Source organism: Homo sapiens, chromosome 2, assembly GCF_000001405.40.
Source record: "Homo sapiens chromosome 2, GRCh38.p14 Primary Assembly".
In the NCBI taxonomy this organism is placed as follows: Eukaryota; Metazoa; Chordata; class Mammalia; order Primates; family Hominidae; genus Homo; species Homo sapiens.
Window position 1 is genome coordinate 32370756 of NC_000002.12, and position 24017 is coordinate 32394772.

Here is a 24017-nt window from a genome sequence, read left to right on the forward strand (position 1 = left end):
GTTCTGATACAGGCTTGTATCTTCTTTATTGACTTTGAATGATCTTTGCATATAGTACCTTTTAATAGGCTATTTTAAAATAGCGTTGAAGTCTGATGAGATGTCAGTGGAAATGGAGTTTTACAGTGTATTGTCAGTTTGAAAAGATAATGTATTTCTTGTAACATTTTTGCAAGTTTTTTAGGGTTGTACATTATTTCTTAAAGTATTAGAATTGGTAACTAATTAAAATTTCTTTCCTTTGAAATTTTCAATTTTGCCATCCTGGGCAACATGGCAAAACCCTGTCTCTACAAAAAATACAGAAATTAGCCGGGCGTGCTGTCACACACCTGTAGTCTCAGCTACTTGGGAGGCTGAGGCGGGAGGATTGCTTGAGCCTGGGAGGCAGAGGTTGCAGTGAGTTGAGATTGCGCCATTGCACCACTCCAGCCTGGGCAACAGAGTGAGACCCTGTCTCAAAAAAAAAAAAAAAAAAAAAAAAAGGAAATTTTCAGTTTTAAAAGGGACATACCTTATAGGATGTTAGACAGACTAAGGAAAAAGTAAGTACGTATAATTTCATTACCTAGAGATGGGCATTGTTAACATTTTGGCATTTCTTTTTACTTTCTTCTATTAGTATTATTTTTTTTTGGAGACAGAGTCTCGCTCTGTTGCCCAGGCTGGAGAGCAGCGGTGCAATCTCAGCTCACTGCAACCTCTGCCTTCTGGGTTTAAGTGAGTCTCCTGCCTCAGCCTTCCGAGCAGCTGGGACTACAGGTTCATGCCGCCATGCCCGGCTAATTTTTTGTATTTTAGTAGAGACAAAATACAGGGGTTTCACTGTGTTACCCAGGCTGCTCTCAAACTCCTGAGCTCAGGCAATCCGCCCGCCTCGGCCTCCCAAAGTGCTGGGATTACAGGCATGAGCTACCATGCCTGGCCTCTTCTATTGTTTAATATATTTTTATAGAATTTGGATCATAGTGATGTGTTATGAACTACCCCCTCCTTAGTTAATAGCATAGTTAATAGGCTATTGCTCCATGTGTACATGTTTATTCTTTTTTTGTTTGTTTGTGTTTTGAGACAGAGTCTCACTCCGTCACCCAGGCTAGAGTGCAATGGCGCGATCTCGGCTCACTGCAACCTCCACCTCCCTGGTTCCAGTGATTCTTCTGCCTCAGCCTCCTGAGTAGCTGGGATTACAGGTGCCTGCCACCGTGCCCAGTTATTTTTGTATTTTTAGTAGAGACAGGGTTTCACCAGGTTGGCCAGGCTGGTCTCGAACTCCTGACCTCAAGTGATCCGCCCGCCTCGGCCTCTTGAAGTGCTGGGATTACAGGTGTGAAGGCATTGCGCTTGGGTGTGTTTTTTCCTTTACAATATCATTTAAAAATTTTTATTTTTTATAGAATATAAAGTAAAGTTGTCTATTTTTTGTGTACTTGTCATACAGGTACACACATGCATAGATTGATGTAACCCACCATCACAGTCAGGATACAGACCAGTTTCAACACCTGAAAAAATTCCCTGTGGTATCACTTTGTAGTCACATCTTCCCTTTACCACTAATCTTTTGGGACCACTGATCTGTTCTCCATACTATGGAGTTTTGTGTTTTCTACATTGTTACTGAAATGTAATCATTCAGTATGTAACCTGTTGATGCTAGCTGCTTGCACTTAGCATGATGCCCTTGAGATTCTGTCAAGTTTTTGCATGTATTAATATTTCATTCCTTTTTTATTACTGAATAGTATTCCATCGTATTGATGCATCATTATTTGTTTTGCCAGTCACTCTTTGAAATATGTTTGGGGCTGGGTGTGGTGGCTTATTCTGTAATCCCAGCACTTAGGGAGGCTGAGGTGGGCACATCACTTGAGACCAGGTTGGGCAACATGGCAAAACTTTGTATCTACAAAAAATACTAAAAATTAGCCAGACATCATGGTGTGCGCCTGTAGTCCCAGCTACTTGGGAGGCTAAGATGGGAGGATTACCTGAGCCCTGGAGGTCAAAGCTGTGGTGAGCAGTGATTTCGCCACTATATTCCAGCCTGAGTGACATAGTGAGACCTTGTCTCAAAAAAAGACAAAGAGAAAGAAAAAAAAACATTTGGGTGTTTTCAATGTTTGATGATTATAAATAGAGCGACTATAAACTTCTGAGTATAGATTTTTGTGTGAACATAAGCTTTTATGTCTCCAGGGTAAATACACAGAAGTGGGATTACAGGGCCATTTGGTAAGTTTGTGTTTAACTTTGTAAGAAACTGTCAAACCAGTGTGGCTGTACCATTTGTATTTCCTTTAGAAATGTATGAGAGTTCCAGTTGTTCTGCATCCTTGCCAGAACTTCATACTATCTTTATATTGTTAAGATATCTATACTGCCCCAAACAATTTGCAGACTCATTGCAATTTGCAGACTCATTGCAATTCCTATCAAAATCCCAGTAACTTTTTTCTATTTCTGCAGGAAAAAAAAAAAATCTGTTCTAAAATTCATATAGAATCTCAAGGGACCCTAAATAGTTCAACATAATCTTGACAAAGAACAGAGTTGGAAGATTAACACTTGATTTCAAAATTTAGTATGAAGCTACAGTAATCAATATAGCAAAGTACCAGCATAAAGATGGACATATAGACTGAAGGAATATAGAGCCGAGAAATAAACTATTGCATATATGGTCAAATGATTTTCAGCAAGGAGGCCAAGACCATTCATTGGGGGAAGCGACAATCTTTTCAACAAATGTTGCTGGGAAGACTGGATACTCACGTGCAAAAAGTATAAAGTTGGACTTTAACACCATATACAAAATACAACAACGGAGAATAAGTGTTGGTGAGGATGTGGAGAAATTGGCACTCTTGTGCACTGCTGGTGGGAATATAAAATGGTGCAGCCATTATGGGAGATGGTGGAGTTTCCTCAGAAAATTAAGGAAAAAATAGAATTACCATATGATCGCTGTTCTGTTTCTGGGTGTGTACCTCAAAGAATTGAAAGCAGGGAATCAAGGAGATATTTGTACACCAGTGTTCATAGCAGCACTCTTCGAAATAGCCAAAAGGCAGAAGCAACCTAAGTGTCTGTCCATTGATAGTTGAATGGATAAAAGGAAGGAAATTCTGACATAGGCTCTAATGTGGAGGAACCTTCAGGACATTATGCTAAGGGAAATAAGCCAGTCACAAAAGGAAAAATACTGTATGATTCCTTCCATTCATGTGAGATATTTAGAGTAGTCGAATTCATGAAGACAGAAAGTAGCAAAGTGGTTGCCAGGCTTTGGGGAGAGGGGATAAAAGTCAGTTACTGTTTAAAGCGTACAGAGTTTCCCTTTATCCTGATGGATAAACAACAGCATGAATATACTCAATACCACTCAACTGTACACTTAAATGATAAAATGGTAAATTTTATGTTTATTTTACCACAATTAAAAAAACTACATAATTGAAAAAAATCCAATGGCCATGTTTATATAGTCATATCTCTTGACTCTATTTTGTTCCATTGAGCTATATGTCTGTCCTTTGCCAGTACCACACTTTCTTGTGGTACTGCCTTTTCAAATACATTTCAGTCAGTTTATTTATATGGTGCAATCATAGCTCACTGTAGCCTTGAACTCCTGGGCTCAAGTGATCCTCCCACCTCAGTGTCCGAGTAGCTAGAACCACAGGTGTGTGCCACTACACCTGGCTAAATTTTTTTAATTTTTTTTTTTTTTTTGTGACGGAGTCTCACTCTGTCGCCCAGGCTGGAGTGCAGTGGCGTGATCTTGGCTCACTGCAAGCTCCGCCTCCCAGGTTCACGCCATTCTCCTGCCTCAGCCTCCCGAGTAGCTGGGACTACAGGCGCCCGCCACCACGCCCGGCTAATTTTTTGTATTTTTAGTAGAGACGGGGTTTCACTGTGTTAGCCAGGATGGTCTCGATCTCCTGACCTTGTGATCCACCTGCCTCGGCCTCCCAAAGTGCTGGGATTACAGGCGTGAGCCACCGCGCCCGGCAATTTTTTTAATTTTTAAATTAAGATAGATACGGGGTCTGTCTCAGGCTGGTCTCAAACTCCTGGCTCAAGCGATCCTTCCGTGTAGGCCTCCCTAAGTGTTGTATTATGGGTGTGAGCCACCATGCTGACGCCACCTGGGATTTTGATTGAAATTCCGTTAAATCTGTAGATCCATTTGGGGAGTGTTGAGGTTTTTACCAGATTGACTTGTTCAGTCCATGAACATGGTATTATTTAGGCTTTTGATTTGTGTAATCAGCCTTTTATACTTTTCAGCATACATATACACCTTTTGTGTATATGTATGTCTAAGTATGTTTTAGAGCTATTGTAAACTGGTATTTTAAAAATAAATTTTGGTTTTAGATTAATCAGTGCTCGTATAGAAAAGTATGATTGATTTTTATCTACACGGGTAATCATTTCTGTAAAAAGGGACAGTTTTATTTCTTTTTGATTTGTTTGCCTTTTATATCCTGATTTTTTAGTGCAGTGACTAGATCTTTTAGTATAGTATTGAATAGGAATGGTAAGAGCATACATCCTTGTCTTGTTCCTGATCTGTATGGGAAAGTATTCAGTCTTTTACCAATAAGTATGTTGACATGCCAGGCACAGTGGTGTGCTCCTGTAGTCCTAGCCACTCAGGAGGATGGCTTGAGCCCCAGGCGTTGCCCTGGGCAACGTAACGAGACCCTGTCTCTAAAAAAACAAACAAACAAAAAAAACCCCCAAAAAACTCCAGACCTTGTGATCCGCCCACCTCGGCCTCCCAAAGTGCTGAGATTACAGGCATGAGCCACCATGCCAGGCCGAAAAAGCCAAATTGCTTGATACGTACCATAGACTGAGGTCTCCAGCTGTGGTTGCGTGCCATTTCAGGCACAGGATTCATTTTGTAAACAGATGACATACATTTACCGTATTGATAAGTGCAATATAGTGCCGTAAATGTATTTTCTTTCTCTCTCTTTTTTTTTTTTTTTGCAATTCAGCTTTTTATTGTAATCATATGACTTGTCCCTGCCTTTTGGGAACACTTCGAGCATCACTAGTGTTACCTTTTATGGGTTTCATAGTGTTATTCAGGGTTTATGGTATTGCACTAAACCCGATGAAAATACATGAGATGGCCGGGCGCAGTGGCTCACGCCTATAATCCCGGCTCTTTGGGAGGCCCAGGCGGGCAGATCAGGAGGTCAGGAGATCGAGACCATCCTGGCTAATACGGTGAAACCCCATCTTTGCTAAAAATACAAAAAAATTAGCCGGGTGAGGTGGCAGGCATCTGTAGTCCCAGCTACTCGGGAGGCTGAGGCAGGAGAATGGCATGAACCCGGGAGGCAGAGCTTGCAGTGAGCCGAGATCATGCCACTGCACTCCAGCCTGGGGGACAGGGCAAGACTCGGTCTCAAAAAAAAAAAAAAAAAAGGAAAATACATGAGAATCAGGAGAGATCACTTTTTACTGCGATTACCAATTAACAATTGAGAGATGAACTGCTCACCTGGATATGATTAGGGTCACATGGTGGTACTCATAACACTTGAACTCACTGCAATAGGAACAAAATTATCACAGTTTTATAATATGTACTACAGCTAATTTTATTTAGTTATGATTTAATACTGTATTTTTTACATTTGTTTACATTTTTCTTGACTGGTGCCATGTACTATTTGTGTGCGTAAGTTTTGATAATTTTAACTTTATAGTAGATTTGTGTATATTTTATGTCAGTAAATGATCAAATAGACTAATATCTACATATATTTTATGCATCAGTGACATACTGTTTTCTTAATTTTTTAGATATTTCTAGGCTACGTGTTTTGTCTACATGTTTTTTAAATTGTCACAAATCTCTGAAATTTTTTTCAATGTATGAATTGGAAAAAAATTTATGTATGAGTGGTCTCATGCTGTTCAAACTTGTATGGTTCGAGGGTTAGCTGGGTTTTCTTCTTATGCATACCTGTAATAAAGTTTAATTTAAAATGTAGGCATAGTGACAGATTAACAACTAATAATAAAATAGAACAATTACAATATATTAGGAGTTATGTGAATGTGGTCTCTCAGAATATCTTATGTACTGTACTTTTGGACCTTTGATTGAAAATATCTTATTGTACCATACTTACCTGTTTTTGGGCTTCTATTGACTGGGTAACTGAAACTGCACAAAGTGAAACTGCAGATAAGGAGGGGCACTGCTGTATCTAATAACTGTCCATGCTGTCTTTATGCTTATTGAGTTTTGCAAAAAATGACATCCAATAATTCATTTTTAAAAGTTTTGTTTTTGAACACTTTCATTTTGCACTTACAGAAAAATTGCAAGAATAGAATGTTACAAAGAACTTCCCTATATACCCTTTACCCAGCTCTACTAGTTTTAAACATTTTACTACATTTGCTTATTATTCCCTTAATATATATGTGTGTGTGTGTGTGTGTGTGTGTGTGTGTGTGTGTATACACATCATATTTTATTCTACTTGAGAGTTGGTTGCATATATCATGCTCATTTTCCCTATACTGTTGCTGTGTTTATTTCTCAGAACAATGATGTTCTTTTATAATAGCAATTTGGTTGTCAAATTTTAGTAATTTCACATTGATACTTTTATCTAATTTATGGTACATATTTGAATTTAATCCAGTTGGCCCAATAATGTTCTTTAGAGAAGTTTTTTCCAGTTTAAGATCCAATTCAGGATAATATATTGTGTTTAGTCACTATGTAAACATTTATTTTTAATAGACCATTGGCCTGAAAATCTTAAGTGTTGAATTTTTGTTCTTTTAACAGCTAAACCAGGTGGACAGGTGAAATGTCAGTATATCTCTGCTGTGGATAAAGTTATATTTGTGGATGATTATGCAGTAGGGTGTAGGAAGGACCTTAATGGAATCTTGTTGTTAGACACTGCTCTGCAAACTCCAGTTTCAAAGCAGGATGATGTGGTTCAGCTTGAATTACCCGTTACAGAGGTAAGTTGAAATAAGTATCAATGTGGTCCTCTACTTAATGTAATCTTAGACATATTAGATGTTAAATGAAATTAAGTCATCCTTTAAGGACGTTATTATATATATTGCTATAAAAACAATTTACTTATTGACCACAACTTCATTTAAATATTAATACTCACCTTTTCTCTGCATAATTAATTCTTGTTGAAGTGGTGTTTTTAGGTGTGAATGGTGCATCAGCACAGGTTAAACAGCTGTAACCGAGACCCAAAAAAACAATGGCTTAAACAGGATAGCTTGTTTCCAATAATAGTCCAGGGCTAAGTGTATGGCCATCATTGCCAACCTCAACACTTGGGTTAGCTTGGGAGTTTAAGACAGCTGCTCTAGGTGTCATTATTTCCCAGTCACAGGGAAAGAGAGGGCAAGAGGCTAGAGGAGAGCACTCTGGCATCTCTCTCTTCTCTCCTTCCCTTTCCCTGTCCCTTAACCCCCAGCCCCCTCTCCTACTCATTTGTTCTTGTTCTCTTTCTGCCTTTCACAACTCAAATACTCTCTCATATAGCCTCATATTTACCCCATTAGACAGAATTTAGTCACATGACCACACCAAGCTGAGAGGGAGACTGGGAAAGAGGTGGTTCTTTCTTTCTTTTTTTTAATATTTTAAAATGAGAGAGGAATAGACTCTGGTAAAACAGCAGTAATTTTTTTTTTTTTCTTTGAGTCAGAGTCTTGCTCTGTCACCCAGGCAGGAGTGCAGTGGCTTGACCTTGGCTCACTGCAACCTTCATCTCCCGGGTTCAAGTGATTCTCTTGCCTCAGCCTCCCTAGTAGCTGGGATTACAGGCATGCACCACCACACCCAGCTAATTTTTGTATTTTTAGTAGAGACGGGTTTCACCATGTTGGCCAGACTGGTCTTGAGCTCCTGACTTCAATTGATCCGCCCGCCTCAGCCTCCCAAAGTGCTGGGATTATAGGCGTGAGCCACCGCACCCAGCCACACAACCAGTAATTTTTGCTATGCATCATGTCTTTCAATAACTTGAGTTTTAAGTTTTAGCCATATATACTTTTCTGTAGTGTTAAATTTTCTTTACTTAATTTTTAAGTCTAGCCCAACTTAAATTCTTTTGTGTGGCTTCATATCCTGCAGTTTGAAAGTACATTTTTCATAATTACTGGATTTTGCATCACCTTAAATAGAATGTAAAAGATTATGTTGTGTTCTATAATAAAGTGAGATATTATTTGTGTTCATGCTAACTTGTTATGAAAGTTATCAAAAAAGTATGTCCAATAAAGTATATTCACTTAGATTTTACATTTAGTGTCATATAACAGTAGTCTATTATATGTTAATATTGAAAGCATGTTGCTGAAAGTTTGAGTTCCAAAAACAGAGAAGCTGTCTTTTTCTCATCAGAGTATTTGGGTCTGGAGGCATGTCTAAAATCTTTGGATAGAGAATTAATTAGTTCTACTTGATTTGAACAAGTAGAAACTTTGAAAAACCATTTGAAAAAATTGAACATTTTTCCCTAATTTAAGGAATATAAACCAGCTGATATCAGGATATATAATCAGCAGCAAAAAAACACTATCAAACTATGTTTAGGTTTAACAAACAATTAAAGAATTACAATAAAATACTTGAACACTTATTAACTCTCAAGTCAGTGTTTTTCCTACTACAGTGAAATGCTGTTTAGCTTCTATCCCTTCCTCCACCTAGTTTACTGTTAAATCTACTGTTTTTTTTCTCTTTGTACTTTAATCACAGCTGTAACTGTTGTTCAGATAATATTGTTTGTAGATCTTCCAGCATTCCAGGCTTCCTTTACTGCATCAGATTAGTTTGTCACTGTCTTCCCTAAAGTCTTAGGTTTGATTTGCTCAGTGTAGATATATTCTTTTCCTTATATTAGCATATATCTTTATTACAGTAGTTCATATTGAATATGTGGATAACAATGCAAAGGGCTTTTTCATATTACTTGCTGACTTAGTGTCCTCTATTATGACTTTATATAGCTTGAGTATTTAAAGCTCATTGGAGGACTTTAAGTTTGTCTCTTCAGATTTTTTCCTGTATTATTTTTGCTTATGGTTTCAGCTTGTCCATTTTTCTATCTTGATTTGGTTTACAATAACTACTTTGTGTTTAAACTTTACCATGTAGTATTTCTACACTGAATACATTGCTTTATCTCATTTAATTTTATAATAGCCCTTTAAATTATTGTTTAATTAAGTAGATTTGTTAAAAGGTAAGTTTAGTATAGTACCTGTCATAATCATTGCATATTAAAATATCTGAAAGAGGATCTGAATTTAATTTTTTGTTGTTCTTGTGTTGAATTTTCTGTGATTTTTTTATTTTTTATTTTTTATTTAGGCACAGCAGCTCTTATCAGCATGTTTAGAAAAGGTAGATATTTCTAGTACAGAGGGTTATGATTTGTTCATCACACAGCTCAAAGATGGTTTAAAAAATACATCTCATGAGACTGCAGCAAACCACAAAGTTGCTAAGGTAAGAAGTTAATAGATTGCCTCTTTTGGGGTTATATTACAATGGACACCTCCATTCTTTTGCACTTTCCTTTCCTCTCCTTTTGGAAATGTTCTAATTCTAGATTTTTCTTTTAAAAAGCAGAATGTGCTTATAAGTCATCTTAAAGTTGAAACTGGCTGGGCACGGTGGCTCACACCTGTAATCCCAGCTGAGGGAGGCTGAGGCGGGCAGATCACCTGAGGTCAGGAGTTTGAGACCAGCCTGGCCAACATGGCGAAACCCCATCTCTATTAAAAATACTAAAATTAGCCAGGCGTGGTGGCAGGCGCCTGTAATCCCAGCTACTTGGAGGCTGAGACATGAGAATCACTTGAACCCAGGAGGCGGAGTTAGCTGAGATTGCAGAGATTGCGCCACTGCACTACAGCCTGGGGGAAAGAGTGAGACTCTGTTGCCCAAAAAAAAAGAAAAAAGTTGAAACTTTGAAACTTCTTAATCGAAGCTTAACTTCAGTTTGTGGGAACTATTTTGCTTATTGTGTTTTCTGATGCTTCCTTAAATCTTTCTTAGTGCCTGATGGACCTGGATTGGTCAAGAGGCTGATGAAAGAAGCTTCCTTGTTAGGTTGTGAGCTTGGATGCTTGGATAAGAATGGACTATGTCTTTGGAAATTGAGCCATTTTGTGCTTTCTCTGAAATTTTTTGGCATACTGGGATGTATATGAGAGACAGTGCTTTCAATTAAATCCTTGGGTATATTTTTATTAATTTCCTCCAGATTTTTCTTTTAAGGCCTTTTCTAAGTTATACTGCATATCAAACTTCCCTGTTATTGAAGGATATAAGGTAGAAGGTAAAAGCCATTTTCCTATAAGTAACTTGGGCATTTGCAAAGATTTTTCTCAAGTGCAGTTGTAACTATACTAAAATATACTAATATTGTGTTATGATATACCTTGCTTTTTTTCTTTTATTTTTTCTTTTGAGACAGAGTTTTGCTCTTGTTTCCCAGGCTGCAGCGCAATGGCACAATCTCGGCTCACTGCAACCTCTGCCTCCCGGGTTCAAGTGATTCTCCTGCCTCAGTCTCCTGAGTAGCTGGGATTACAGGCGTGCGCCACCACGCCTGGCAAATTTTGTATTTTTTAGTAGAGACAGGGTTTCGCCATGTTGGTCAGGCAGGTGGCGAACTCCCGACCTCAGGTGATCTGCCTGCCTTGGCCTCCTAGAGTGCTGGGATTACAGGTGTGAACCACTGCACCTGGCTCTTTTTTTTTTTTTTTTTTGGTTCGAGACAGAGTCTCACTCTGTAACCTAGGCTGGAGTGCAGTGGTGTGATCTTATCTCACTGCAACCTCCGCCTCGTGGATTCAAGCTATTCTCCTGCCTCAGCCTCCCGAGTAGCTGGGATTATAGGCACACGCCACCATGCCTGGCTAATTTTTGTATTTTTAGTAGAAATTGGGTTTCACTATGTTGGCCAGGCTTGTCTTGAGCTCTTAACCTCGTGATTCACCCATCTCGGCCTCCCAAAGTGTTGGGATTACAGGTGTGAGCCACCGTGCCTGGCCACCTTGCTTTTTTTCACTCAAGAATTTGTCTTGGATATCTTCTCATATCCTCAGAGATCATCTATGTTCTTCTTAGTAGTTGCATTGAATTTTTTTTTGTAGATTTGTCATGATTGTATTATACCTTACTCTATTGATGGGGCATTTTATTTAGGAAAACAGAAACTGTCCTATGAGTTTCAACAGAGATAATTTATTGTAAGAAATTAACTGGTGTTTGAAAACTGAAAAAGTGAAAAGGAGATCCTGAGATAACAGAGATAACTATAGGAAGCAGTTTTCACCTAGGTCTGGAGGAACAAAGAGTAGAGATTAGGGGTTATCAGAACCTAGAAACTTAGAGAATAGGCCCCGTGGATCTGGGACTAGGAAGTGCTACCCAGTTGGTAACTCAGGAGCTTGGACGAGGGCGTTGCAAAACTGGGACTCAGATCTCTGAAGAGAGATGCTACTTGACTGATGGTAGTACCTCTGAGGGAACTCTATGAAACTGGATCTCGGAATGCTAAAACAACCAAACCAAAACAAAATGCTGAAGACTGGAAGAATCAACTACTGCATCATGTCCTTTGCTGAAACAGTGCTGATGGCAATGGCCAGTAAATAAGAAGGAGCAAGTCTTTCTTCATCTTTCTTTCCAGTTTCCTTCCTGTGCTGTTGCTGGGAGAACCTAAAAGCCAGGAAACTGGTTGAAAAGAGGAAATACAGTATGCAGAGTCCTAGCCCCAACCTGATAGAGCAGAGAATTAAAGGGTAGATTTGGAGCTCAGAGACAACAGTTTAATTAACTGCACAGTCTACCCCTTTGGCTACTCAGCATCTCCATTCACACTTTATATATTTGAACTTTCATATAACAAAACTATTATGCTTTTTAAAAAATTTATTTTTATTTTTGGAGATGGGGTCTTGTGCTGTTGCCCAGGCTGGAGTGCAGTGGTGCGATCTTGGCTCACTGCAACGTCCGTCTCCTGGGTTCAAGCAGTTCTCCTGCCTCAGCCTCCTGAGTAGCTGGGATTACAGATGTGCACCACCATGCCTGGCTACTTTTTGCATTTTTAATAGACATGGGGTTTCACTATGTTGGTCAGGCTGGTCTCGAACTCCTGACCTCATGATCCACCCACCTTGGCCTCCCAAAATGCTGGGGTTACAGGTGTGAGCCACCGCACGTGGCCTGGTCCTCAGTTTATTTAATTTTTTAATTTAATTTTTTTTTCTTAGACGGAGTCTGTCTCTGTCACCCAGGCTGGAGTGCAGTGGTGTGATCTCGGCTCACTGCAAGTTCCACCTCCTGGGTTCAGGTGGTTCTCCTGCCTCAGCCTCCCGAGTAGCTGCGATTACAGGCGCGTGCCACCACGCCTGGCTAACTTTTGTATTTTTAGTAGAGACGGTTTCACCATGTTGGTCAGGCTGGTCTTGAACTCCTGACCGTGTGATCTGCCCACCTTGGCCTCCCAAAGTGGTGGGATTCCAGGCGTGAGCCTAGTCCTCAGTTTATAATGGTCAAGAGGATATATTGGTCAAGAGGATGTATAATAGTCAAGAAGATATCTAATTTCTTTTTTTTGTATTACCTGTTCCTTATTAGCTCTGTCATCATTCAGCATCTCAACTGGTCAGGATTCTTTACGTACATGAACGACCCATCTTCATTCTTGAAGAATCTGAATCCTCACTGGTGCTGTGTCTTTATTTTATTTTATTTTTTGAGATGGAGTCTCACTTTGTCACCCAGGCTGGAGTGCAGTGATCTCAGCTCACTGCAACCTCCGCCTTCTGGGTTCAAGTCATTCTCCTGCCTCAGTCTCCCCAGTAGCTGGGACTATAGGCACGGGCCACCACACCTGGCTAATTTTTTGTATTTTAGTAGAGACGGGGTTTCACTGTGTTGGCCAGGCTGGTCTTGAACTCCTGACCTCAGGTGATCCAACCGTCTTGGCCTCCCAAAGTGCTGGGATTACAGGTTTGAGCCACCAAGCCCAGCTGGTGCTGTATTTTAAGTTGTAATTGTTACTTCATCTTTACTATTGGACTTGGAAGTACTAAGGGGCATCCTAGAGAATCTCTTGGGTTCTGCATAAGTTCTCCTTGCCCCTGTTACTTAGCATCAATCCAGGTTTCCGCTTGTCAGTTCCAGTCATACAAACTAGTAGAACTTCTTTGACTATTTATTCAGTGGCAAGAGGACCTCAAAGTTGCTGGGTAGCAATCTCAACACCCACTTCAATGGAAGTGTTGTTGTACCCCTGCTGGAACATTCCTCCCTTGGGAGTAAGACCTGTAGAGCTGAAAGCTTTAAAAAAAATCTGTGAATGAGTTTATTAAATATAATAGTGGGCATGCCCAGAGAAACTGTATCATACATTTTTGGTTGATTCAAAGCATATGCTTCATCTTGTAAGGTAGAACTCCATAACCTTTCAGCATGTCTCTTTCGGTTAGCGTTGAAAATGAGTCTTTAGTAGGCCATTGAGCTTTTCTGCCAGGCCAGCTTCATCAGGATGATACACAGTAAGACCAGTGGAAAAAAGATTTTTTTTTTTTTTTGCTTTGAAATACTTTTCTTGATCAGAAGCAAAGTTTTCTACAATACCATGACATTCTGTCAGTCCACAGGCAATGGACTATATAATATTACGGCAGAAAACTATGGACAGAACAGGTAAATGCATACCTAGAATATATATTTGTTATGTTGAAGACAAATTGCTGCCTAGTCCATGACTAGGAATCCCGTATAATCAACCTACTGTCAGATAGCTGGCTGTTCCCCCTGGGAAATGACGTGATATTTGCCACCCAACTTTGGTAACTGTTTGGCAGATTAGGCAATCAGCAACAGCTGTAGCCTGGTTAGTATTGGTACAGGGAAGTTTACATTTTTGGGCCTGTGCATAGCCTCCATATCTGTTGCCATGGTATTTTGCACACAAGTCCATTGAGCAAGCACTGGAGTGCCCGTGGAGAGAGGCTTACTGTCATGTATATAATGTGTATAACTTCTCCCATTTCTTCTGAAATGGATGCCTTTTGGTCTGCATTGACATATTTCATACGTATTTTTACCCTCTGAGAGTTCTATTCATAGACCTTTGTTTTTGACCTCCTTGCTGCTAGTCTTCTAGTTCTGTTTCTTCCAAGTGCCTGACCATCTAGCTAACAAATTAGCAACTCTGTTAACTAGTGAGGATCTTTACTTCTAGCCAACTCTAAATCCATACAAGAACAGTCATACATACTGACTGAAGTTCTATCTATTGAGAAGATTTACCTTCACCACTCTCCTTGTGATTGGGGCTATGATTCTGTAGCCATCCACTTCGGGGTAGTACCAGCATATCATGCAGAACCATCTGTAAATCAGGGCCAAGAGTATTTTCCCCTCATATTATTTCATCATAAGGAGTTCCCCATGAAGCTATTGATGTAGAACAAGGAGGAGACATTATAGTGGGAGTAGGTATTGAATTCTGAGCCACTTGTTTATTCAGTTTTTGCCTTTTGGACTTTGTGAAGACAGATCTTTTATAAAACACTTGATGAAGGATACTTGTTGCTGGTGCTCAATATTATGGTTGGTGTGTCAGATAACATTTGGACAGCTCTGAATTTGTAGACATTAGTTTCGTAGATAGATATTAATCTCTATCTGGGACTAGTAAGGAACTAGGAGCTGTTTTTCAAAAGGAGAATGGTTATTTGCATGAGAGGGTGTGGCTTTGCTCCAAGACCCTAGCATTCTGCTGTGTGATTGTCCCAATTAGGTTGCCACAGGCTCCTTACAGCATCATTATTTGCTGTGGACTTCTAGTGTCAGTGTCATTGAAAGTGCTCTTAAGGTAAAAGTGGCAGAGCATCTTGCAGTACAGTCTGGTCTTGTTGCAGAGTTTCTTGTTTTGCACCTTACTCAAAATTGGCAACCTTATATGTTTCTTGATACTTGGATTAGAGCACACATTCAAGTATGCTAAATATTGGCTCCCAAATCCAAGTAGGCCCACTAAGTACTGTGGCTTTTGTTTCTGTGGTTGGTGTTACAAGTTGGAGCAACTTGTCTTTCAGTCTGGAGGGAATATCCTGACATGACCAGACCTCTGGACCTCTGAAACTTAACCATGGTTGCAGAATCTTGAGTTTTTCTGGGGACTCTTATTCTCTGGTTTGCACCTTACTCAGGCATTTAATTTCCTTGCTGTTTCCTTTTCATCTGGACCAATCAGCGTGCTGTCATGATGTAGTGGACCATTATGTTGATCTGCAGGATGTTAGGATGATCAGGATTTCTAGAATGTGAGATGTGGTCTTAGGGAAAGATTGCAAAGATTTATTATTGTTCCTGCCAGGTAAAAGTGGACTTTTTGTATAGTCCTTAAAAGTAAAGATAGAAAAATATTGGATAGAACTGTAACTACCTACCAGATATCAGGGGATTTGTTGATTTGCTTTAATAAAGATACCTCATTTGGAAAAGCAGCTGCAATGGAAGTCGCCACCTGATAGTTTACCATCCACAGTCATTCTTCAAGATTCATTTACAACAGTCCAGTAAAGGGGACGAGGTCATTTGATTACCTCTGTATCTTTTAAGTCTCTCTCTCTTTTTTTTTTTTTTTCCAATACAGGGTCTTGCTCTGTCACTCAGGCTGGAGTACAGTGGTGTGATTTTGGCTTACTGTAGCCTTGCCGTCCTGGGCTCAAGTGATTTTCCCACCTCAAGGCTTCTGAGTAGCTGGGATGACAAGTGCATGCCATCACGCCTGGCTGTTATTTTTTAGTAGAGATGAGATCTTGCTATGTTGACCAGGATGGTCTCAGACGTTTAGGCTCAAACGAACCTCCATCCTCAGTCTCACAAAGTGCTAGGATTATAGGTATGAAGGCACTGTGCCCAACCTCAAATCTTTTACAGTGGCATTAATCTAAAAAATTTCTTCAGGAATGTAGCATTGCTTTAGTTTAATATCTTTGTAGAGAAGGAAAGTTCTAGGGGCTTATACTTCATGTTTTCTATATTACTGGCCCACAGAGAAGAGCAGAGAGCTAATCTGGGGATTGTTTTCAGTTGCCTGTTTTATATTATGCATTCAGGAACTGGGGAAGTAACTATTACACAATAAGGATTTACAGACCCATAGAACTCTCTGAGACAGCTTTGGGCTGAAACTTTATTAATCGCTTGACCATCCTACGTGCCCTCTTTCTTGGACCACAGTGATGTTTTAGGTCAGTTCAGTGCCATGTTTTTGTAATGCCTGAAAGATCTTTTCCCCCATGCACAGTCACTGTAGTGAATGCCCATAGGTCTTTCTGAGGGAAGGTTTGGAGTATGATTTACAGTACCAACTATAGTTGGGGTATCATAGGATCCTTTCTCAAGGGGAGTCATCCTCCCTTTCAATAAAAAGCTCTGATCTGTGAACAGATTAATTAGGTCTAGAAGTTTTCATTCTCCCTCTTTTTTTTTTTTTTTTTTTTAGCAATTCAAGTCATGTTTTTGTCTACAAGTTTTTCCAGTATTGTATAGATAAATAATAATTTACTAGGCTGCCTTGAGTATACTAGACAAGAGTAGAAACCATTCATGGGTGAACTGGGGACAGGATATAAAGATGCAATTACATTATAGACTTATTTCTCTGGGAGAATAGTACTTAGCATTTTTGTGGTCTAACTTCAGTAATTGTTGTAATATTAAATAATCATGGCTAACATTTATCGAATATTGCTGATGGCGAAGCTGGGCCCAGAATCCAGATGTGTGACTATAAGGCCTGTGTTTTTAGTTGCTATTGCTGGATTATGGTGACAACAGCAACAAAAACAATGCATCTGCTAAGCTGAACTAAATCCTCATATACCCCAGTAATGGTAATTGTCTAAATATATTCTTATGGATGGAGGTATTTGAGTGCCTACTCTGTGCTTAACATTGTACTGGATGAATAGGAAAAATGACAGATGATTTTAGTTGTCCTTAATTTTTGGTGATATATATAAGAACATGTGTTACTGTCTGGTTCTGAATTGTCTTTTCCAGAATAGTTAGTTGAGGTTTCATTTAAAAAATTAAAAAATTTTCATTGATAAATAATTGTATATATTTATGAGGTATAATGTGATGTTGTAATATATGTATACATTATAGAAAGATTAAATTAAGCTAATTAACATATCTATCAACTCACCTACTTACCATTTCTTTGTGATGAGAATGTTTAAAATCTATTCTTTTAGCAATTTTGAAATATACAATACGTGGGCCAGGCGCAGTGGCTCATGCCTGTAATCCCAGCACTTTGGGAGGCAGAGGCGGACAGATCATCAGGTCAGGAGATCAGCCTGACCAACCTGATGAAACCCCGTCTGTACTAAAAATACAAAAAAATTAGCCAGGGATGGTGGCGCATGCCTGTAATCCCAGCTACTCAAGGAGGCTGAGGCAGGAGAATCACTTGAACCCAGGAGGCAGAGGTTGCAGTGAGCCGAGATTGCACCACTGCATTCCAGCCTGGCGACAGAGTAAGACTCCGTCTCAAAAAAAAAAAAAAAAAGAAATATACAATACATGATTAGTAACTGCAGTCACCAGATCACTAAAATTAATTCCTCCTAAGCTTCCCAAAGTGTTGGGATTACAGGCGTAAGCCACTGCACCTGGCCTTTACTGCACATTTTCTTTACCCAGTCACCCATTGATGGATACTTAGATTGGTTCCATATCTTGGCTTTTGTAAAATATTTTATTTTTTTTTATAACTGCAAGTTTCTGTTTTAAATGATAAACTAATGAAGAAAACTGACTTGAAACTGATGAGTGTTCTTTATTTGATAATGGTTAAGTTATGATTTTGGTTAAAACTGTTGAGTACATTTTCCTTTGCTTATACTCCCATTTTCTTTCAGTGGGCCACAGTTACATTTCATCTTCCTCATCATGTGTTGAAGTCCATTGCCAGTGCCATTGTAAATGAACTCAAGAAAATAAATCAAAATGTTGCTGCCTTACCTGTGGCGTCCTCAGTGATGGACAGATTGTCTTACCTCTTACCTAGTGCACGTCCAGAACTCGGAGTGGGGCCAGGCCGTTCTGTAGACAGGTATGAACCTTGCTAACAAAGGTGACAGTGAGATAGAATTGATTAGTTTTTGCATTAAACAAGGAATAACTAGAAAATCTGGTTATGATTTTTAAAAATTTCACAATTTCTAGCCTAATTTTGAAATTAAAAAAAAATCAATATGAATTAGAATCTGAAAACCAGATTTAAAGTAAACTGCTACTTGAATTGCTATTTTTAAACACTATATTTTAGTACACTAAAGGTATTTGAAGGGATTATAAAGCCACATTTTGGAAATTCCAGTTTAGTACTTGCTTAGTAAATATTTTAGTCAAATTAAAATTACTATAATTATTTAATGATTAATAACTATTTTTCCATTGATGACATTTTGTGACCTTTGAGATAAATTTTGCCTAACTTACCATGCCCTAATGTGAGTATAAGGAAAGTGCTATCATTTTATAATGAAAAAAAAAAAAAGACCAGTTTAAAAAATAATAGGAATAATTTTGAGTTAACAATTTTTTATGCTGCTCGCCCTGGATTTAAACAGTATTACAAAAATCATACCTAAACCATCATTTTCTTTGGTAGAGGTTTTTTTGAATGCCTATTTTGTTTAATTAATTAAAAAACCAGTGACACATTCATTTAAATACTTAAATGATTTGCTATTTGAAATGACGATTGAGGTTCTTACAAAAAGTACCAAGGTTTAGAAATGCTGTACTGAAATATAATACGCAGCAATTTTGATTAGATTTTTGTTTGCCTTTTCATGTAGTATTTATTTATTTATTTTTGAGACGGAGTTTCACTCTTGTCGCCTAGGCTGGAGTGTAGTGGCACAATCTTGGCTCACTGCAACCTCTGCCTCCCAGATTCAAGAGATTCTCCTGCCTCAGCCTCCTGAGTAGCTGGAATTATAACCGTCCACCACCATGCATGGCTGATTTTTTTTTTTTTTTGAGATAGAGTTTCGCTCGTTGCCCAGGCTGGAGTGCAATGGCACGATCTCGGCTCACCGCAACCTCTGCCTCCCAGATTCAAGCAATTCTCCTGCCTCAGCCTCCTTGGTAGCTGGGATTACAGACATGTGCCACCATACCGGGGCTAATTTTGTATTTTTAGTAGAGACAGTGTTTCTCTGTGTTGGTCAGGCTGGTGTCGAACTCCCTACCTCAGGTGATCTACCTGCCTTGGCCTCCCAAAGTGCTGGGATTACAGGCATGAGCCATGGCACCCAGCCAAATTTTCTTTTTTTTATATTTTTGTTTTGAGATGGAGTCTCGCTCTGTTGCCCAGGCTGGAGTTCAGTGGCATGATCTTGGCTCACTGCGAGCTCCGCCTCCCATGTTCATGCCATTCTCCTGCCTCAGCCTCCCGAGTAGCTGTGACTACAGGTGCCCGCCACCATGCCCAGCTAATTTTTTGTATTTTTAGTACAGGTGGGGTTTCACCGTGTTAGCCAGGATGGTCTCGAGCTCCTGACCTTATGATCCACCCACCTTGGCCGCCCAAAGTGCTGGGATTACAGGCGTGAGCCACTGCACCCGGCATGCCTGGCTCATTTTTTGTATTTTTAGTAAAGACAGGGTTTCACCATGTTGGCCAGGCTGGTCTCGAACTCCTGACCTCAAGGTGATCTACCCGTCTTGGCCTCCTAGAGTGCTGGGATTACAGGTGTGAGCCACTGTGCCCAGCTGTAGTATTTATATTTTTACATTTTCATTGGATGTGACTTGTAATTTCCTAAGCATCTTTCTGAAGTACATTTATAAATAGTATGTGCAGATGTTATCAAAGGCACTACTGAATAAATTCATTTTAAACTTCTATTATTTTTAGTATGGCTCTTCTAGTTCAGTAGCAATATTTATTAATTTATCTTTTGGTAAACTGATTTCTGCGTAATCACTTACCCTCTTTTTGTTAGTTAAGTGATTTTGTTGTTACATATATAACTTTTATTAGTCGTATTAACAATTGGGCAGAATTTTTATATTCTGTAGTAGTAATCTCTTGGGCAACATGCAGACTATCATTTTTAATCAGATTATCTGGTGATATGTGCTATGGCTGTCATTAAAATATTCTTTGGGATATGCCTGAGATGGGAAAAAAGAAAAATACGTAATTAGAACAAGTGCTTCTTGTCTGAGATCTATGCCTATTTTGAGATTATAAAAGAGTCAGCTCTGCAGAGCTATTTTCTTTGCAAACAGTTGCAGTGTTTCTAAAGAAATCAGTGCAAGCTGTGGTAAATGTTATATTTTAGGAAATGCAGCCATTAGATGGGATATTCAGTATTTTTAGAGGTGTTAAAAATGTCCTAAAATATTAATTTTGATACAGACTGTGGTGTTTTTTTCATTAAAAATCAATCTAGGAGCCTCTGAAGGCTTTGATGAACTTAGGTCTGTGGAAGGTTTGAGTTAGGGTCTATTGGATGCTACTGCTGTTTTATTGGGTAATATAACGAAATGAGATAGGTCTTCTGTTCTAAGACTGATCCTAAAGACACATATAATGTGAAACTGAGAATGCATTTCTAACCAAACAGCTATTTGTTTAAAAACCTGAATACAACTACGAGTAAACCTAAAGTTACTAGCAATTTTATAGAAAATCATGTGCTAATTTAAGGGAAGAATTTAGAAGAGTATTTTCCTGTTTTCTTTGTCATGACCTTTACCACTTTTTCTTTCTGTTATCAGTTGTAATTTTATGTTAGGATGAATAAGCTTTGCTTATCAATCCTTTCTTACTAAAAATCTTTTGGACTTCTCAAAAAGTTTACTATCGTCCTTTAAAAAATTACTCTGGTACTTTCTGTTATAGTTTGACTCTTAGTGAGCTGATATATTTTAATATGAAAACATATGTAATCTACCCCTGGAGTTGTTTATCAACTGCAGCCACCAATCAGGTTTTCTCCTTCCCTTTCTGTTTAAGGGAAATTCCCAAAAATTACCGTTTTTAGTTTAAAGTAAAAAATTGAACTTGTTCATCAGACCATTTGCAGTTTTTGCTGATAACCCAGTAAAATTATTTTTTGCATTGTTAAATAGAAGTTTCACTGTGATTTGATGCCTAACTTCAATTACATAAAGTATGTTTACTTTTAGATCACTGATGTATAGTGAAGCTAACAGACGGGAGACATTTACCTCATGGCCTCATGTAGGCTATAGGTGGGCACAACCAGATCCCATGGCTCAAGCTGGATTTTATCATCAGGTAAAAAAAGAATATAAAAAAATACTTTTCTCAGTAGGCCTTTGTAGCCCTCAGCAAAATTATCACATTTTTTTAACTTTTTCAGAAACTTATTTTGTGCACCTTGTATGCTTGCTTGTATGCATGGATGCTTGTTTTTTTGGCCCAGGCTGGAGTGCAGCGCCACAATGTTGGCTCAACTGCAACCTCCGCCTCTCAGGTTCAAGTGATTCCTGTGCCTCAGCCTCCTTGAGTAGCTGGGAATACAGGTGTGCACCATCACACCTGGCTAATTTTTGTATTTTTAGTAGAGATGGGGTTTCACCATGTTGCCAAGGCTGGTCTCAAACTCCTGACCTCAGGTGATCTGCCTGCCTCGGCCTCCCAAAGTGCTGGGATTACAGGCATGCCAGGCCAGGAAAAAAATTGTTTAAGCAATTAACAACTGAGTATTTTCTTTAAGATTAGATACAACTTTTTTAAAAAACAATTATTTTTATTTTTTGTCTTTGAGACAGGGTCTCACTCTGTTGCCCACGCTGGAGTACAGTGGCCCTATCACCACTCACTTCAGTCTCAACCTTCCCAGGCACAGGTGATCCGCCCACCTCAGCCTCCCTGAGTAGCTGAGACTACAGGTGTGTGCCACTGGGCCTGGCTAACTTTTGCACCAACCTAATTTTTTTTTTTTTTGGTAGACACAGGGTTTCTGGTGTTGCCCAGACTGGTCTCGAACTCCTGCTCAAGTGATCTACGCACCTCATCCTCCCCAAAGTGTTGGGATTATAAGTGTGAGACACTGTGCTAGGCCATAATTTTTTTTATAAAATCAACAAATAGTATTCTTCAGATTTGGTTTCTGACAAGTATTCTCTTTTGATGCATGTTTATTTCCAGTGTTTGACATCTGCATTCATAACACAGTAGTAGATGCTTAGGGTAATGCAATAAAAGCAGTTTTACAGTTTCGAAATTCTCATTTTAGTTGGGATACAAATTACCCATATACTAGATAACTACAGAAGCAGCATTACAGGTAGTGCATTGCAACTTGAATATCTGTGCATTAAAGAACTGATTAAGTTGCATAGGTAGAGGAAGAATTAGTCAAGAAAAACAGTCATAGTTTTGTGTAGGAAAAGAGGAGAGTATAAAGTGTAAGGATTAACACGATACAGAGGCATAAGAATGGGACATTATAAAAAGCTTTGCTGAATTAGAGGGAAGTTAAGAAAAATGATTTTAGCTAGATGTAATATGTTATTTAATAGGAAACTTAAACTGAGTGGTATAGAGTGGCTTACCACTGTTACCACTGCTAAAAGAATCTAAGAAATCTAATACTTATATGTCAGTTTAAATAAAGCATGGTTATTTAACTTTATTTATTTATTTATTTGGGACAGGGTCTTGCTCTGTCAACCCAAGTTGGAGTGCAGTGGCATGATCACAGCTCACTGTGCCACAGCTCACTGCAGCCTCAGCTTCCAAACAATTCTCCCACCTTAGCCCCTCAAGTAGCTGGGATTACAGGCATGTGCCACCATTCCCAGCTAATTCTGTTTATTTTTTGTAGAGATGAGATTTCACTGTGTTGCCCAGGCTGGTTTCAAACTTCTGGGCTCAGGCAGTTTGCCTGCCTTAACCTTCTAAAGTATTGTGATTACAGGTGTAAGCCACTGCGCCTGGCCTAATTTAAGAATTCAAGTACATTTTGAAGTACGTTAAAGTAACTGTCATTTAGAATCTGAAGATTGATTATTCCTTCGTTATCTTCAAGTATTCTGAACATCTTTACTAAAATTAAACCAGAAAACTATATATATATATATATATATATGAATATTTTATTCAAAGTTTGTCAGATTTCCTGTTACAGATAGGTAAGTTTGGAGACTGGCTAATATTAGAATCAGTGAAATAATTTCTCTAAATTAAGGATTGAACATGGACCATTTTTCTAGCAACTTGTCTTTCTTTTAATTTGGTGTAATTTTCTAAGAGTCTCTGTTAAGTGATGCCTTGATTTTTTTTTTTTCTTTCTGTTGAGTTATTGTTCATTATATTCTGTCTTTGCAGAGAGGTCAAATAATAGGTTTCCTAGAATACTCTGATTCTAGGAAATGTTAGGGGCTGATTATTTTAATCTTCTAAAATGTATAGTAAATTTGCATCTATAACGTAAATGTTCACAAATATTAATATTAGTTTTCAGGTATATTTCAGTTCAGGTTTTGAAAATATATACATATATATATAAATTGTGCCTGGCCCTTGAATTGAAATATATATAGCATTTTGTCCTATGTTGTATGAATTAGATTCCATATTATGTGAATTAGATTGACTACTTTGCTTTCCCTTTTTACTTGCCCTTCTTGTTCAGTTGTATGTGATTGAGTATTTAATAATAAACCCATTGGCTGGTGCAGTGGCTCACACTTGTAATCCCAGCACTTAGGGAGGCCAAGGCAGGAGGATCGCTTAAGCCCAGGAATTTGAGACCAGCCTGGATGCTGTAAGGAGACCATGTCTCTACAAAAAAAATAACAGAATTAGCTGGGTGTCATGAAACACTTCTGTAGTTCCAGCTGGGGGGCTGAGGTTGGAGGATCACTTGTGCCCACGAGTTCAGGGCTATAG

At 38.8% G+C, this 24017-nt stretch overlaps 1 protein-coding gene across 50 annotated transcripts in view; it reads left to right on the top strand.

Moving 5' to 3' along the window:
- BIRC6 (baculoviral IAP repeat containing 6) overlaps window positions 1-24017 on the top strand; it is a 261856-nt gene that overhangs the window by 13733 nt on the left and 224106 nt on the right. For all 50 annotated transcript variants that reach the window (XM_006712055.4, XM_005264451.5, XM_047445167.1 and 47 more), the window contains exons 2-5: window positions 6833-7014; window positions 9398-9535; window positions 17995-18188; window positions 21284-21395. In XM_006712055.4, the coding sequence (XP_006712118.1) occupies window positions 6833-7014; window positions 9398-9535; window positions 17995-18188; window positions 21284-21395 (626 nt within the window). The remainder of the gene's footprint in view (window positions 1-6832; window positions 7015-9397; window positions 9536-17994; window positions 18189-21283; window positions 21396-24017) is intronic.